At 43.5% G+C, this 17,913-nt stretch overlaps 1 long non-coding RNA gene across 2 annotated transcripts in view; it reads right to left on the bottom strand.

Annotated features, from left to right (window-relative positions):
• Positions 1-17,913, bottom strand: part of LOC102723639 (uncharacterized) — a 92,097-nt gene that overhangs the window by 18,632 nt on the left and 55,552 nt on the right. Inside the window, exon 3 of one of the 2 annotated variants that reach the window (XR_001749334.2) lies at positions 9,046-9,383. The exons of the other annotated variant lie outside the window; for it this stretch is intronic. This is a non-coding gene — a long non-coding RNA (uncharacterized LOC102723639). Of the gene's footprint in view, positions 1-9,045; positions 9,384-17,913 lie in introns of those variants that run through there. 2 annotated transcript variants of the gene reach the window in all.

Here is a 17,913-nt window from a genome sequence, read left to right as displayed (position 1 = left end):
AAGAAAAAGAAGGAAAAAAAATATATGTTAGAAGGTGATAAGGGCTCTGGGAAAAGAATGGTGGGAACGTTTAAAGGATTCTCTGGCATCAAAAGGAAAGGGCACTCTTCGTTCCTGAGAGGAGAAATCAGCATCCCACCCAAGTCTACAGAGAAGGCCATGCATATAGGGCCTGGATGAACTGCTATAATATCACTGTGCTAGGACCTCAATAAGTTTCGTTTTCACTCTATGCATTTAAGATGGTGTCATGTCCTGCATTGAAGAAATCAAAGGTTGGTTGTCGCTGGCTGCCAAGCTCATTCTCAGACTTCTTGACTCCAGGATGGGTCAGGAATCATTCATTCTATTGAATAGATGGAAAAGCTGAGAAAACGGGCAAACTGTGATTTGATCCAAGATTTCCTGGGAATTTGTAAATGGATTTAGAAACACAAAATCGATTAAGAACCCGAGTTTTAGATTTGAAACAGGCCTGGGTTAGAGCCCCTGCTCCGTCACTTACTTTAGGAAAATCATTTCCCCTGTGTGAGTCTCAGCTTCTTCATCTGTAAAATGGAAATAACAGTATCTGATGGTTAGTGTGAGGACCCAGTGAGCTCATGTTTGTAAGGCATTCAGCACAGCGTCCTGAATATGGTGACACTCCAGAAATCACAGTTGAATTTATTTTTCAGACTCATTGATGATTTCAAACTTCCAACAAACGTACATGTTAGAATGTGTATATGTGTGCGTATATATACATACAAAGTCATCCAAAAGTGAATATATATTATATATGCATGTGTAAATGTGTATTGCATAATATGCATATGTGTATGTATGTTGTATACATATATGTGTATGTGCGCATGCATGTACATGCCGAGTTTCATCCAAAGGTGATTATGACAATGTATGCAAGTGTATATATGCACCTCGCATGCATATGTACATACGTATTTTATATGTATATGTTTATACATATGTATATCTATGTGCATATGAATGGGGTAGGTATGCATATATACTCATGCAAAGGTAATTTTTAATATATGCAAATTATGTGCATATATCATCATGTGTATGTACATGTATATATGTATTTACGTGTATATATACTATATCTATGTGGTGTGCACGTGTGTGCATACTGTATGTGTGTATGAGCATGTGTGTATGCGTGTGTGTGTGCATGCATCTACACACACACACTCAGTCATTTCTTGAGCTGTTTTTCTCTCCAGGAGCAATGAAGACAAAAACTCTTTACAGCCTGTATGATTCTCAACTTTCCTGGCCCCAGCAGATACTGGGTGTATATTCCCAGATGTGGCAGCCTGCCTGGCTGAACCCCAGAGGCCTAGCATGTCTGAGATAAGGCAAAACCTTCTGAATGCCATGGCAGGAAACAGAATGGTTAATAACTTTAGTGGAGAACCTTGAGATAAAATGGGTTAAAGTGTTTGATTTTTGCAGCTCTGTAAGGTTACATTCGGCTTCCAGTCCCTCTTTCTCTCCCCTACTCTCTCGCCCTCTTTTCCTGCCTCCTGATGAAAAATATGCTCCGGCTTAATAGAATTACTCTCAGAGCCATCAATGCAAACGCTGTTTCAGGGCAATCTCATTCGAACAAATGTATTTTTATTTGAACAGTGTTACTTGAAAAATTAAATCGCTGTATCTGTTCCCTTTTCCCTCCCTCCCCCCAGCCATCCATACGGCCCTCACAATGGGGAGGAGAGGCGAGCAGAGCAGAGCTGAACTGTTTTTAAATGAATTTGATCTGATTTAATGATTCTTCTCTGCATTAATTAACAGTGAAACCAGCCAATACATTGTATCATTCATAGATGTATCCACCGGCATCCGTTTTATTTTTGGAGTTGACTGAATGTATCACTCTTCAGACTTATTGTCTTTGAAAAGTTCAGAGCTAGATTAGAAGAGGTCTGGTGGAGACATGGGGACTGGACATGTCCACATGAGTGCAGGTGTGTGGGGGTTTGGGAGCATCTGTGGTCCAGTGAAATAGAGGCAGCTACCCAGAGGTTGGTACAAAAGAGATCTAGGTTCGAATCTCAACTCAAGTGCCCAATAACCATTTGATTTGGGGCAAGTCTTGCCACTGCTTTCTGCCTCATTTTCTCCCTCTGTGGGTTGGGGCTAATAATTGTGACCACTTCCTAGGGAGTTCGTGAGGGTAGAATGACTACAGGTGTCTGCAGGGCATTGGATATCAAAGATGGCATCATCTCCTGGATTGCAGAAATCAAAGGTTGGTTTCCAAAGCAGCAAGAAAGCACTAGGAACTCAGGGATAAACTTCCCCAGGCCAGCCTATTCAGGAGGCTTTTCACCTCAATTGTGTTATGGAGACAGGGCCAGCTTCATAGCCTGCAACCTGCGCAGTCACCGAGAGCCTACACGCTGAGGGGCTTCTCCTCCTTTGGTCTGATGCTCCCCTGTCACCACCCTAAAACACTTAATAATTGTATCTTTTTGTTGCATGTGAAGTGTGACGGGACAACGAGCAGAGGAGACATGTCATCGGCATCTCCTCCACCATTTCGTGTCCTGCACCTGCATTTAACATGTGCAATACCTGAACCGAGTTTTCTAGAACAAGGGACCCACATTTTCATTTGGCACCAGGTCCTGCAAATGATGCAGATAGTCCTCTACGAAGAGACTGTCCTTGAGTGGTCATCTGTTTTAAAAAAGCAGTGCTAATGGTTTGGTTTTTTTTTTTAATGATTCTGAAGAAGGTGGAAAAATTGTTGAGCACCTGCTCTGTATTGAATATCACACTTGGTATCACATATCTCATACACTTATGACTTTAAAATTTTCTAAAATAGGTATTTTGTTTTCATTTTTTATAGATGAGGGGAACCGAGGTTTGAAAGAATTAAGTAATGTGTTTAGGATCCCATAGCTAAGAAAAGATGACTCCAGATGAAACCTTGTCTATCCATGAAACATGGACTCAGCTTTCTCCTGCCTTTTTCTTTTTTTTTTTTTCCTTCTCTCCAGTCCTATTTCTTCTTTCCTCATTCTCTCCCTCTCTCTTCCCCTTCCTTCATACATAGAGGTCTTCAGTGAGTGCTGATTGATCTAAAGGGAACTGAAATGAACTCACTGTAATTTTAATGATTGATCAGTTAGTATTTGAAGCCCCTCTTCAGCAGGCATCTACACTTCCTGGAGTTGGGGTCCAAGCTAAGCTCAGACACCATATGCCAATCAAGAATTATGAAAAAACCATGCTTGATGAGTGGGAAACTGCTGAATTTAATGTCACATATTCCCTAACCATTCAAGCCATCAAAGAAAGCATATGGTTGTGTTGAATGAAAGTTCATTCTTTCTGATTTCAAATGAGGCATCGCTGTCACTTAGCGTCTTTTAAAACATAAATTGAAATGATTTTCCTGAAAGTGTACACAGAAAAATAGCAGGTTTGCTGTTTAATCTTTTTGATCCCTAAGACAATGTCACCTCTCCATACACATTTTATTGAAACCAAAACACCCTACAAATCACTTAAAGCAATAACAGCTCTGTTTTCTCCATAGAAAGGTTTGGTCAGAACAATCTTCAGGAGACTGTACTCAGAAGAGACAAAAGAACAGGTCCACGTACAGAATTTGAAGTTATGAAGTCTAGTAGTAACCTGTATTTAGCACCTACTAAGATGACAGGCACTTTAAAGATTTTACCTCATGGACGGGCCCGGTGGCTCAAGACTGTAATCCCCACACTGTGGGAGGCCAAGGCAGGCAGATCAGTTAAGCTCAGGAGTTCAAGAACCAGCATGACCAACATGGCAAAACATACAAAATACAAAAATTAGCTGGGCATGGTGGTGCACACCTGTAATCACAGCTACTCAGGAGGCTGAGGCAGGAGAATCACTTGAGCCCGGGAGGCAGACGTTGCAGTGAGCCGAGATCATGCCACTGCACTCCAGCCTGGGCTACAGAGCAAGACACTGTCAAAAAAAAAAAAAAAAAAGAAAAGAAAAAAAAGACTTTATCTCACTTAGCTCCAACAACAGCCATAGGTAAATACTGTTAATACCTTCGTTTAGTTGATAAGGAGGTAGAAAATCAGAGTCAATAATCTGCCCATACGGCTAGAAAAGGGAGACAGAAAACTTCACAGCCAGATATCCTGAACCCCAGAACCAAGATTCTTAACCAGGACTCACTCTGAATTTACTCTTTGAAGGAAGCAAAGATGGCTGTCTCGGAGGAAGAGGTAAATGATGGCATTCTCATTCCTCTGGGGGTTGACCTTTTCTAACCAGCTAATTATTTTAATGGCAGGAGAAATTCTTATTCACTAAAATATCTGCTCTGGTCTGATGTGTTTCTTGACCTATTTCCTCTCCCCTCCATTGCTCTCTGTGCCAACCCACTCTGCTGCTGCCCTCATTGACCAGAAGAGTTGGACAAATATGCCCCCTTCAGTGTATCTTTTGGCAACTTCTGAGTATAACAAGAATCAAGTTGATTTGGAGCCAAACAGACTTGGATTGGAATTTTAGCACTCTTCTTACTAATGCTGAGCTCTTGAGCAATTTATATTATGTCTCTGCACCTCAATTTCCTCATTTGCAAACAGGGATAACATAGTTGTAGTGGATACTGTAATATGCTACCCAGCTCTCCCTTTGGGAGTGAGGGACCTATTCTCTCACATCCTAGGGGTGCTGCCACCTGCTACTCCTCTGCTGTCAGTCTTCTTTGGGAATTGCCATAGCCGCAAAGAGAGCTATGTCATCCAAGTATCCCCCATCTTCCCAGGACAACTGCATCCCTTACCCTAACTGGGGGAAACTCTGAAATTTATCTGGCTTTAGAGCTCCCCGTGGGGTTGACTGAGGCCCTTGTTCAGACTGTAAACCTGGCTTCTTCCTTTTCCCACTCCTGCTTCCTTTCTTTCACTTCCCCTGCTACTGATTCTGCACATCTTCCCCAAACCTCTTGTATGTTCATCTTCATCTCAGAGAGGAGAATCTGACTCAACAAAATCCCTTAAATTAAGTCCTAATTCATTGTTAGCGGTTATTTTATGATTTATTTGGGGGAAAATATACTCAATTGCCTTCGATGTACTGGGTGCAGTACTAGGCACCAATGGTAACAGTCAAGGCTTAACAAACTTGAAAGTTCTTGAAAGGGTGATTTGAAGGAACAAAAGTATAGTCATGGTGTCTTTAGGGAGTCCTACGTTAACAGACTCCACATGTAGGATTCATTGAATCTGAGTTCCCTTCCCTTGTGTCCACCCACTTGGCTTAGGAAGAGGAAAGTGCAGACTCTGACAAGGGGCAGGGATTGACTTGCCCAGAGACACAGAGGAATGGGTTTGTTGTGCCTAAAATGAGAAGCCAGATCTTCTCATTCACAGGCCTGTTCTCCTTGAGTGTGGTCCCCAGCCTCCATCTGGATGTTCCAGGGAAGTTCCTCCCATGTCTTAGCAGGGATGGCTGTGCCAAAAATGATGCTTCAACACAGGTCCCAGTATTCTGGCAGCCAATGATGGGTGACTAAGAATAAATTTGACCAAGGGCAAGGTGTCCTCTTTCTTCATCACCACCATCACCATCATCATCAATGATTGATGAAGATGAGTTCATCATCACTTTAAGACATTATCCCACATAATCCTCCCAATAATCTATGAAATTGTGAAGAAAACAGATGTTCAAAGAAGCTAGGCAAGGGAAATTTCACAGCTATTTGCCATTACTTTTAATGGCAAAAACCACAATTACTTTTGCACCAACCTGATAGAAAAGAACCGTGCTAGGATTCAACCCCAGGTTGGCTGGCTGCAGAGCACCTCTCTTAACCATTAAGCTATCTGACTCTCTTTGTGTGCCAATTCTTTAAGCATCATACATTCATTCCACACATATTTCCTGAGCACTTCTTTTTTTAGCAATGGCATCTCACTCTGTCACCCAAGCTGGGGTGCAGTGGGGTGATCATAGCTCACTGCAGCCTCGAACTCCCGGGCTCAAGCAACACCCCCATCTCAGCCTCCTTCCTGGGTAGCTGGGTGCAAGCCACCTCTCTCATCTCTTCATTTTTTATTTTTAGCCAAATAGAAGTATGTCAGATCATAAACCTGCAGAAGAAGCCCTTTTGGAAAAACACTAAGAGGTATACGGGGCAGGGACCATGTGTTTTTTTTTTTTTTCTGAGATGGAATCTCGCTCTGTCGCCCAGGCTGGAGTGCAGTGGTGCGATCTCGGCTCACTGCAAGCTCCACCTCCCAGGTTCACACCATTCTCCTGCCTCAGCCACCTGAGTAGCTGGGATTACAGATGCCCGCCACCACACCCAGCTAATTTTTTGTATTTTTAGTAGAGACGGGGTTTCACCATGTTAGCCAGGATGGTCTCGATCTCGTGACCTTGTGATCCGCCTGCCTCGGCCTCCCAAAGTGCTGGGATTACAGGCATGAGCCACCGCACCTGGCCTGGGACCTGTTTTATACTCACTCTGTAATAATGAAAATGAGAGCAAACACTTAAGTTGTGTTTAACGTTTCCTAAACACCATTGCAAGTCCTTGGCCTATCAATGTATGACTCACAAAATTCTTACAACTGCCAGCAGGTGAAGAAAGCTCACACAGCTTGTGAGTGTCAGAGCTGAGATCTAAACCCAGGTGCAGCCGGGATCCATGGCCCCTGCTCTTGAGGACTAGGCTTTAGTCCAGGGCTTACAAACTACAACCCACAGGCAAAATCTCACCGTTGCCTGCTTTTTATGTAAAGTTTTATTAGAACACAACCATGCCTGATTATGTATCTATTATCTATGGCTGCTTTGGGGCTACACTGGCAGAGTTGAGTATCTGCAACAGAGATCTTACGGACCACAGAGCCCAAAAGATTGATCTGCTGATCCATTACTGAACACGTTTGGCACCCCTGCTCTCCAGCCTCTCTTAGGGCTTCACATGCAGGTCTCTCAGACTTCACAGCGTAACTTAACAAGGTGGATACTATTATTTCATTAAGAAACAGAGACCAAAGGGAAGTTAAATAGTGGGTCCAAATTTAGCAGCCAAGGAAACGGCAAAGCAAGGACTTATTCACAAGCCAGCTGATTCCAAAATGCATGCCGGTAACCCCTGGGCTTTACCAGTGTGCAAAGAAACACGTGGACGGCTGAGCAGTTAGCTCTCCGAGGGGAGAAGTCTTGTCAGTCTGCAAGGCTGGTGTTATTGAAACAGTGAAATAAGCCTCCATGCCCCCCTCATACTTCCCCACTGGGCCCAGTGACCACTTAATACAAACTGCCCCTTCCCTCCTGCAGCAGGTTCCCCCATCTCTCGCAGTTAGTGTCGCCGGGACAGAGAAAGCCATCCATCTTCATGGGAAGTGATCGTTCCCAGCAGGGCACTGCCTCCCCAGCCGCTGAACCAACAGGACCCTGACAGGCATGATGCATTCTCCATGGGTCACCGTCACTGTCCAGGGCTGGGCTCCTGTGTGGGAAGTTCTGGAATCCAGAGGAGTGGAGATGAGGGGAGACACCAAGCAGCTATTTGTAAATGAGCAGCACAAGGGCTGACTCTGTATAGGCACCTGGAGAGGGCAATAGGATGGAGACAGAGCAGCCTGACAAAGTGGAGTCTTTCTAATAACAATAAAAACAACAACAACCGTAATAATCAACAACAACAATAACAACAGCAAACTCAGAGCCCTTATTGTGAGCTAGGCTCAGGTCTCAGGGTTGTACATATGTTAGCGCTTATAGCGTATAACAATCCTATGAAGTAGAATGATTATTCTCCCCATTTTACAGAGATGCAGTTCAGTACTTTGTTCAAGGTCACAGAGATAGTTGCTTACTACCTTCGGCAAATCAGAACGCCAGCCCAGGCAGTCTGTCCCTGAACTGCCACCCTTGCCGCCTCTTCCAAGGCTCCTGTTGAGAATGCAAAGTACAATAGGTAGAATTCTGCATGCCCTAACTTCACATCACAACTGCATTTCTTCTCTGTCATTTCTGGAAGGGCTCTACTGCTTGCAAAAATTTGACCAGAAGATCAAGCACAGAACAAAGGTTATTATGTGTGTTGGTTTAATCATTTATTCTGCAAATATTTATTCAGCACCTACAATGTGCCAAGCACCACGCTACATTTAGTGGAGCAATACGAGGGGGAAAAACAAGCAAGTTTAAGGTTTAAAAGGCTTAAAATCTATGGTGCAAACAGACATCAAACCAATGCTCAAGGTATGGTTGTAAATTTGCAAGAGGCAAAGGATGCAGTACTCCAGGCACATGCAATAGCAGGAGCCCAGAAAGGTTCTTGCAGAAGGGAGACTGGCACCGAGATCTGAAAACGGTGTAGGAGTCAACTTGGGAAGGGAAAAGCAACCCAGGCGGAAGGAACAGCATGGACAAAGGCCTGGTGTCTGAGGCCTGATGCAGCATTCAAGGAATCAAAAGGCACTCAGTGCAGCTGGAGTACTGAAAGTGCAGAAGCCCAAAGCACACTTTGAGGGAAGAGGGGTAGGTAGGACCCACAGGACTTTGTAGGTTCTGGGAAGCATCTCGGCCTTTGTCCTAAAAGCAACTGGGAGCCATTGGAGAGTTTTTTAAGCTGGCTGTTCACAGACTCAGAATAGCAGGTCCCATTGGCTGGGAAGAGAAAATTTGGTTTGGGTTTCACCATCCTGCAGTAGGCAGTCACCATCCACTGCCACACCCACCAAGGACATTCAGGATAGGAATCTAGAGAAGGGCCAAAGAAATAGGAGACAGGCAGTGAGGAGAGGGTAAGGCCTGGGCCCTGGCAGCAGGTGAGAGGGAGAGAGGGAGACATAAGCAAAGAGAGCACTATGCACTCTGTCCCTGTCATTTCACCACAGTGAGGCAGCAAAAAGAAAATCTGGGGACTCCCCTACTCCCTACTTTCTTGGGGAATGGTAATGTTTGATGATTTGTCTATTGGGATAAGTAATATATATTATCAATTAATCATAAGTGTTCTAGTTACTACTGCTATATAATAAACCACTACAAGACTTAATGGCATAAGACAACCATTTTATTTATGCTCATTCATTCTGTGGGTCAGGAATTTGGATGGGGCACAATGGGAACAGCTTGTCTCTGCCCCACAATGTCTGGGGCCTCAGCTGGAAGATTTGACAGCTGGGGGTGATCCAATGGCTAGGGGCTGGAATCATCTGGAGGTGTCATCACTCACGTGTCAGGCACTTGATGCAGGCTGTTGGCTGTGACATCAACTGGGATGTTGACCAGAACATCTACACGAGGCTGAAGCTTTTCCACGTGTTCTGTTAGTGTGTGCCTTTTGGGCTTCCTCACAGTATGGAGACTGGGCTCCAAGAATGAGTCCTCTAAGAGAACAAGGAGGGAGTGCATGGCATTTTTATGAACTAGCCTCAGCAGTCACATAGCATCACTTCTTCTAGTCTATTATTAGTCAAGGCAATCACAAAGGTCCCCCCAGGTTCAAGGTGACATAGTTCTCACACACAATGGGAGGAGCATCAATGTTACACTATGAGACAAACATACGGGATGGGAGATGTTGACCATCTTTGGGAAATGCAAAGTGCCTAAAAATTATAGCTAACACTGAAGTATTGTGTTCTATGCACCAATAACTCTTCTAACCACATTATGTGAAACTATCCTATCAGGTGGGTACCATTATTATCTGCACTTTGCAGATCAGTAAACCGAGGCAAAGAGATGGTTATTTGGTTTGGGATGGAGTGCAATGCGGAATAGCTCTTTAGTGGAGAAAGAAGAGGTTATCATATGGGGGCTGGATGGTGGAAATGGGGCTGAGAAAAACCAATTGTTCTACAGCAATTGTTCCCAAAGTGTGGCCCCCAGACTGGCACCATCAGCATCGCCTGGGAAATTGTTAGAAATGCAGATTCTCAGGTCCCAGACCTGCTGAGTCAAGAACTCCAGGGTTGGGACCAGGTACTCTGTGTTTTCACAAGCCCTCCAGGTGATTCCGATTCTGATGCATGTTCAAGTTTGAAAACCCCTGCTCTGTATGATACCTGAATGGGCTTTTAGCTTCTGCAGGCAGATCGGAGATGGGAGGTAAGATCTCAAGGACAGATTGAAGTGGTAAGAAGAGAGAAGGGTCTGGAAAGAAGGAGATTTGAGAATATAAGTGGAGGCAAGAGAAAATAGAAAGACGGAGTTAGTGAGAAATTTCCTGGGGCGGCATGTGATTGATAAATGTCCAGAAACAAGCACGCTGACTATTGAACTTGAAGTTGTTTCTTGTTTCAGGCTACAATAAGCCTGTAACAGTAAAATCCTATAACTATAGGACTTACATATATATATATGTATATATACACACACACACACATTCTTCCTCTTATACCCTTGTATAGTTCTACGTGCTTCCTGCAAAGCACTTGCTTAGATCCAAACCCTTTTATATTGTAAGTCACAGGCACCCAAATCAAGCTAGACTAATTTTAAAAGATGCTTTATTGTTGCATGTGACAGCTAAATGTAGGGATGGCGCTACCCACAGACTTTGGAGATGTTAAAGTACAGCTCTCCCTCCCTGTCCAAATCTTGGTTCTGCTTCCCTCTTGTATGTTGACTCATCATTTTTTTTTCTCCTGAAAAACCGTTCTTCTCCATGTGGCTGGAGGTAAATAAGGAATGTCTGCAAACAGACAGCTCCATACTAACATCCTTTCCATTTCCTTCCTCCCATACACACGTACAGGAAGGGACTCCAGTTGGCTCTGTCTGGGTCATGTGTTCACCTTTGAACCAGTCACAGCAGCCAGAATAAGGGACTGTGATTGGCCAGCATGGGTCACATGTGGACCCTTGAGAAAATGGATGCAGCTAGGTATTATCAACAGGCCCAGCTAACCACATGGTATGGAGAAGGAGAAATTTCCTCAAAGAAAGTGGAATGTCTAGGCTCAAAAGTGGGGGGAAGATGTTGAACAACAAAAAAGAATGCACATCCATGTCAGCAGCTATCACATATCTGTTTGAGTGATCATTTATTTATTTAACCTTTGTCTCTTCAACTTAAGATCCCATGGGGAAAGGGACTATTATTGCGGGCCATAGTGCTGTACCCCTAATGCTTAATTCAGTGCCTGGCACCAGTAGGTGCTCAATAAAACCCTCAGATATTGAAATAGGTTCTGGAGTATTTTGCCATGTGTCTTATAAAAGTTTGAGACTTTAACAAAAGGAATTTGAAGGAAAAGAGCTGGAGAAATTAGGAGCATCCTGTCTTGAGACATTTGAGGGAGAGAGAGGAGGGAGTTGGTTCCTGACGCTCTCCCTCTCATGGTCTCATTGATACGGATGGAGCAGGGACTATTAGTCCCATTTTATAGGTGAGGAAACGGGCTCAGAGAAGCCCCTCAGCTGGTAAGTGGAAGAGTCATCACTGAAGCCTAGATTTTACTCCAAAAAATTTAGAGCAAATTATGAACCTCCTAGAACAGAGTTAGAGCTCCCTGCCTCCCACAACTGCCATGTAGACTCCTGAACCTGGCCTTCCCACCCCTGCCAGTTCCTCTGTCACTGAGCAAGCTGCTAGCTTCACCATATAAGTTGGATTCCCTAATGCTTCGGAGTGCAGGAGGAAGCAGTGGTTGGGGAAATGCCATTAGAAATAAAAAGCATATTATTCTCCCATGTTCTTCCCCCCTCCAAACCTATTTCCCAGAGGGCCTGCTGATGCTGAACCAAAGAGCCGCACTGCAAGATAATGAATCATAACAGCAGAGAGAGGAGGAAGTGACTCCAATCAGCACCCTCCATCCGGAAGGCATTCCACCTTGAATTATGGCCTGGTGTAAGAAGGGGAAGGAATCAGTATTCCCATTTGACGGATGTGAACATTGAGAAAAACAGAGTGAATTTCGGCAAGTGTAACTGGGTGGCATTGAATCATCAAGGTCCAGTCCTTTAGCTGGGCTCCAGGGAGAAGGTGAAAAATTCACCCAGAGACCTCTTGGAGATAGTAATACATTATTTGGTATTAGCATTCTAGCTCATTCATATACTTTCCCCCGAGTCCATTCTGTATCCCTTTGAGGTAAGTTTTATTATTGAGCCCATTTTACAGATAACAAAACAAGCTCAGAGAAAATAAGTAACAGTTTAAGGTCTTGCACTCAGTGAGTGGTTTCTAATCCTATAGGTGCAATATCGTTGCTAATTCCACCAAGAAAATCCTCACCTGTTTGTGTAGGGCTCATGCCAATCCCAGCTTAACATGGTAGAAAAAGCACTGAGGGTCATCCTGAGGACCTATTATGTACCAGCCACTATGCTAGGCCCTGAGGATACAACCCTGTGACCCATGGAGCTTACAATTGAGTAGGAAAGACAGCTAGAAAATTATATATGTGATATCTGCTGACATGAATGTCTTCTCTTTGTCATTGCTGCACATCTCTCCCCACTTTTTGAGCACAAATCACCCACTTTTTGGGGGGAACTGTCTCTTCTCCATGTCCCTTACTCCATTAGTAATTCTACTCATTACATCTGGTTCCTGACACCCCTACCCCACTAAAGCCCAAGGGCTAGACATGTGACCTATATTGGCCAATAATGGTGTTTCATCCCTTTGGTTGCAGTGATTGATTGGGTCATGAATGGGCACATGATCCAAACAGAGCCAGTTGGAGTTCTTTCCTTGAAATTTACATCAAGAAACTGGGAGAGGAAAATGGTAAGAATGTAGTTATAGGACTCTCTGTAGACTCATCTCCAACCCCAGCCACACACAGCAGACCCATTTTCAGAAGAAGAAAATGAGGTCTTATACAAGAGAGCAAGAAAACCAAGATGTGGATGAAAGGGAGAGAAAAAGAGATGTATCAAGTCCTAGAAATCCAAGGGTGAGTGTCCCAAGCAGGAGAACCAGAGCAGGGGCTAGAGCGACTATCATCAACTTAGCCTCAAAAGTCATAGACCATAACTTCTACCATATTCTATTTGTTAGCCTGGTACATAGTCAAGGAGAGAAGATTTCAGTGCCATTTTTTATGAGAAGTGTATCGAGGGATTTGCAGACATGTTTTATAACCACTCCATCTCCTGTTTCCCCTTACTCAGCCTGGGGCCATGTTCTTATATTCTTTCCAAGGCTAGAACCCACAGCAACTGCAAGTTATTCTTGAATATCTTTTAGTAAGATGATACTGCCTAATTCTGAAGAGGAGAGAGGGAGAACAGGAACAGGAGACAAGGTCCCTGTAACCTTTTCTAGCTATTTCCAAGGGAGGAAATGAAAGGAAGCTAGTAACCACACTTCCCATTAGTAAGAAACTTTACAACTCTCATTATCTTTCATATCCAAACAGCCTTGTGGATTGGACAAGATAATATTGTCCACATGTCACAGAGGAGATACTAAGGCTCACAAACAGTATCTGCTTGTGATGGCAGATACTCAATGCAGTCTGGATTCTACATCTCAGCTCCCTAATTTTCTCGGGGTCCATCCTCTTATTTCTAACTCATGCTTCTTGATCCTATGAACTATGCACGTCTCAGATCATATAGGAGAAGCTGATCCCGCCAGTGAGGTTTACACCCATCTTAACTGCTCCATAAAACCTCATGAGACTTCCTCAAATCCAGAGAAGTTAAGTCCTGACACTTTAACAGCTCGTTCACGATACACAAACCAGATGGACCCGAGCCTTGAATCCATTTCGCACCATCAGGCAGCAATCACATTATAGGCTCTGCACGCTGGCTAGGCACAGAACCCTGCTCTTTGTTCTGTCCACAGACACCCTGGGGCAGGGGTGTGGGATACCTATTTCCTGTCTTGCATCTGTTTATAAATGCGCCACCAAAGAAGAGGGGCTGTTGGCCGTTCCCTCTGGATTTAAAACACAGTTTCAGCTCCTCATGAACTGGAGACAGGTAGGATTTTAGGAAACTGGCATCCTCTGAAGAAATTAACTGAGAGATGAGATTTCTTTAGTGACAGCCTTCGTGTTGTAAAAGATAAAAGTGTAGCTTTTGGCTTTTCAGCTTCTAGGAGTGGAAAGGAGCGGTTAGATCACAGACTCCGGGTGCATGAAAACTTTGCACCCTGATGGGTCCGAACTCTGACTCTGCTACTCACGGTTGATTTGGAGCAGACTCCTGATATTCTCAGCCTCTCTTTATTCATCTGTAAGATGAGTATAATGATACATTATTGCATAAAGTTGTTAGATGTAGACCACTCGTGAGCACCACATAACTGGTGCACAACGTATGTGCTCAGTTTGTGGTAGCAATTGAAGATCAAGAGCTCGGCAAGGCAATACAGGAAAAAGCACTGGCCTTGTGAGGAATTCCATCCAAGAAGCACACAACTGAGTGCTTCCCAAAAGGTGATCCAAGGCACACCGGACTCAGAAAACACACAATCAGGAAAACACACACAAAAGAAGGTCTTTCTTCAACTCAGTTTGGGAAATTTTGAAAGAGACAAAAATAAATAGGCTCTTGTTAGTTTTGTTTGTGCTGCAGTTTTTCTTGGGGTCTTTATCATGCTAATATATCCTGTGGATTTTCCAGGTGGTCAGGCTGAAGGATATATAAGGGTGTGTGTGAAGAATGGGGAAGAGGTGAGCTTCCAACATGTTTGATCACAGAAGATAATAGAAAGACAGATGATAGGTAGGTAGGTAGGCAGATAGATAATGGGATGCATGGGTGGATGAATGGATGAACGGACGGGTGAGTGAACAGGCAGATAGATGATAGTTAGACACATAGATGGATAGATACATACTTACATACAAACACACATACACAGACATGTTTCCCCTTCCGAGCCTCTGTTGACATATTACAGGGTCCTTGTATTTTACAGAACACAATTTTTAAAAAGTCGTGTAGAAGTTGTTGAGAGGTCCCTAAAAGTGGTGAGTTGGGTTGATATTCAAATAAAGGGAGTCATCTTGGACTGGAGAGGGACTTCCCTTTTGTTTTGGGAGAAAGAAGAGGCGAAATTTTGAAATTTTAGTTATGGTTCATAGTAGGATTGGAGTAGAAAAGGAGGAAGTTGAGCCAAGAAGTCGTGGTTTCCATGTTCTCCCTGAAGCAGGCTGCAAGATGACCTCTGAGAGCAAACCAAAAGGTAAGAAGGATCTTGGAGCAGAAGGAGGTGATGGGGGATTAAGGCTCAGCAGAGCAGGGGTGGGAGGTGACCACAAGGGGCAATCTTTTGAGTGTATGAAGGAAATCATCATCAATTTTTACCGATGGGTAACCTTATGTTTTAGTGCTCTAAAAGGTTATTTTGAGGCTGGGCATGGTGGCTCATGTCTGTAAGCCCATCACTTTAGGAGGCAGAGGTGGGCGGATCACCTGAGGTCGGGAGTTTGACACCAGCCTGACCAGCATGGTGAAACCCCATCTCTCCTAAAAATACAAAATTAGCCCTGCATGGTGGTGCATGCCTGTAATCCCAGCTACTTGGGATGCTGAGACAGGAGAATTGCTTGAACCTGGGAGGCAGAGGTTGCAGTGAGCCAAGATCGTGCCATTGCACTCCAGCCTGGGTGACAGAGCAAGACTCCATCTCAAAAAAAAAAAAAAAAAAGTTATTTTGAAAGAACTTTACAGAATTAAGGAACCCATATTTTCCAAAACAATTACTTTTTTGGTTAAAATGTATAAAGAGAAGTGCATTGCCTTTCCTATCACAGATACCAAGGCCTGTTGGAAGAATCAGAAATATCTGCCCCCCAATAGCAGGAGTTACTTTAAAAAGATAAGTATATACTAGGCTGAATAAAGACCCCAGAAATAAACAGGTCCTAATCCCTGGAGCCAGTGAATATGCGACTTTGTGTGCCAAAAGGGTCTTTGCAAACATGATTAAATTAAGGAGCTCGAGGTGGGGGGATTATCCTGGATTAGTTTGGTGAGCCCTAAATGCAATCAAGAGTGTCCTTAAAGAGAGAAGCAGGAAAGAAATGTGACTATAGGAGAGAAGACGGTGATATGATGCAGAAACAGAAACTGTAGTGACACAGTCCTGAGTCAGGGTTGCCACAGTCACTAGAAACTAGAAGAGGCAAAGGGCTGATTTTTTGCTGAATCAGGAACCAGCCCTACCAACACCTTGATTTTAGTCCTATATGATTCATTTTGGACATCTGGCCTCCAGAACCCTGGAAAATAAATTTTTATTGTTTTAAGTCACTAAGTATGTAGCAATTTGTTACAGCAGCAAAAGGAAACTAATACAATAGGTACATATATATGTATGGATGTGTGTCAATGTATGAGTGTGTGTTTGGGTGAGAGAGAGAGCGGGAGAGAGAGAAAGGGAGAGAGAGCATGTGTGTGTATTTTCCACACCACATTATTATTATTATTATTATTATTATTATTATTATTGAGTCTCGCTGTCACTCAGGCTGGAGTGCAGTGGTGCGATCTCAGCTCACTGCAACTTCTGCTTCCTGGGTTCAAGCGATTCTCCTGCCTCAGCCTCCCAAGTAGCTGGGATTACAGGCATGCGCCACCACACCTGGCGAATTTTTGTATTTTTAGTAGAGATGGGGTTTTGCCATGTTGGCCAGGCTGGTCGCAAACTCCTGGCCTCAAGGGATCTGCATGCCTCTACCTCACATAGTGCTAAGATTACAGGCGTGAGCCACCACATCTGGCTCCCACAAACACCTTATAATAGAGACTGTTAATATCACCTCCACTGTGCAGGTGGGGATATTAAGATGAAGAGATTTTAGATATCTAGCTATAGGCTGCACAGGTAGAAAAGCATGGAGCCAGGCCTCAGATGTGAGGATTCTATGCTCTTACCTGTACTATGCTTCCCCGCATGGGGTTATGAGTGTTGAAAAGGCAGGAAAAGGAGGGACAGTCAAGAACATAAAATGGATAAGATGATAATAAGAAGGAATGGGGTCCGGGCATAGAGTGGCTCATGCCTGTAATCTCATCACTTTGGTAAGCCAAGGTGGGAGGATCGCTCGAGGCCGGAAGTTTGATACCAGGCTGGGCAGCATAGCTAGATCCTGTATCTACACACAAAAAAAATTGAAAAATTATCCAGGTGTGGTGGTGCATGCCTATAGTCCCAGCTACTCAGGAGGTTGAGGCTGGAGGATTGCTTGAGTCCAGGCATTCCAGCCTGGACAACAGCGTAAGACCCTGCGTCTAAGAAAGAAAAAGGAATGAAGGAATGAATTACAGGATGATTTACAATTGGTAGGATGAACGGGACACTGGGAGCAGCCAACTTTTCAAGAATTGAGGATGGGTTAGGTACCACATAGCCCCTGACACTAGAAAGAATATCATGAGCGTGTGGGGGCTGCATTCAAGTTCACCTCTTGTCTGCCAGCTGTGAATGACTTGACCTCTATAAGCACCAGTTTTCTCATCTGAGAAAGTGCTTTAATAATAGCAACCGTCTTGTATTTTGTATTGTTAGGATTAAATGAGAGCATACCTGAAAAGGGTCTAGCTCAGTGTCTGACAGTACCCACTCAATAAAAACTATCATACTAGTTTTATTAGTACCACATAATACCACATAGCCATCAACAATCATGTTGGCTTTTTTATGTTAAAACATAGGCATGACACAGCAAGTAGTAAAAGGTTAAAAGGTTAGAAACTAGTCAATTCATCATTATCAATGCAGAGAAAGAAAGTTCTTTCTCCAGGAGAAAGAACTGTTTTTCCTAGGAAGTAAAATTGTGATTTTTTTCTTTTGTCCTATTTTTCAAATTGTGATAATATACACATAACGTTAAATTGACTATCTTAACTATTTTAAGCATACAGTTCAATAGTGTTGTGTATTTATATTGTCTTTTGTCCATTTTATTTATTTTTTACATTTTCTACAATAAACACAAA

This window comes from Homo sapiens, chromosome 12 (assembly GCF_000001405.40).
Source record: "Homo sapiens chromosome 12, GRCh38.p14 Primary Assembly".
In the NCBI taxonomy this organism is placed as follows: domain Eukaryota; kingdom Metazoa; phylum Chordata; class Mammalia; order Primates; family Hominidae; genus Homo; species Homo sapiens.
The sequence above is the reverse complement of the archived record's forward strand: the minus strand, read 5'-3'. Positions and strand labels throughout refer to the sequence as shown.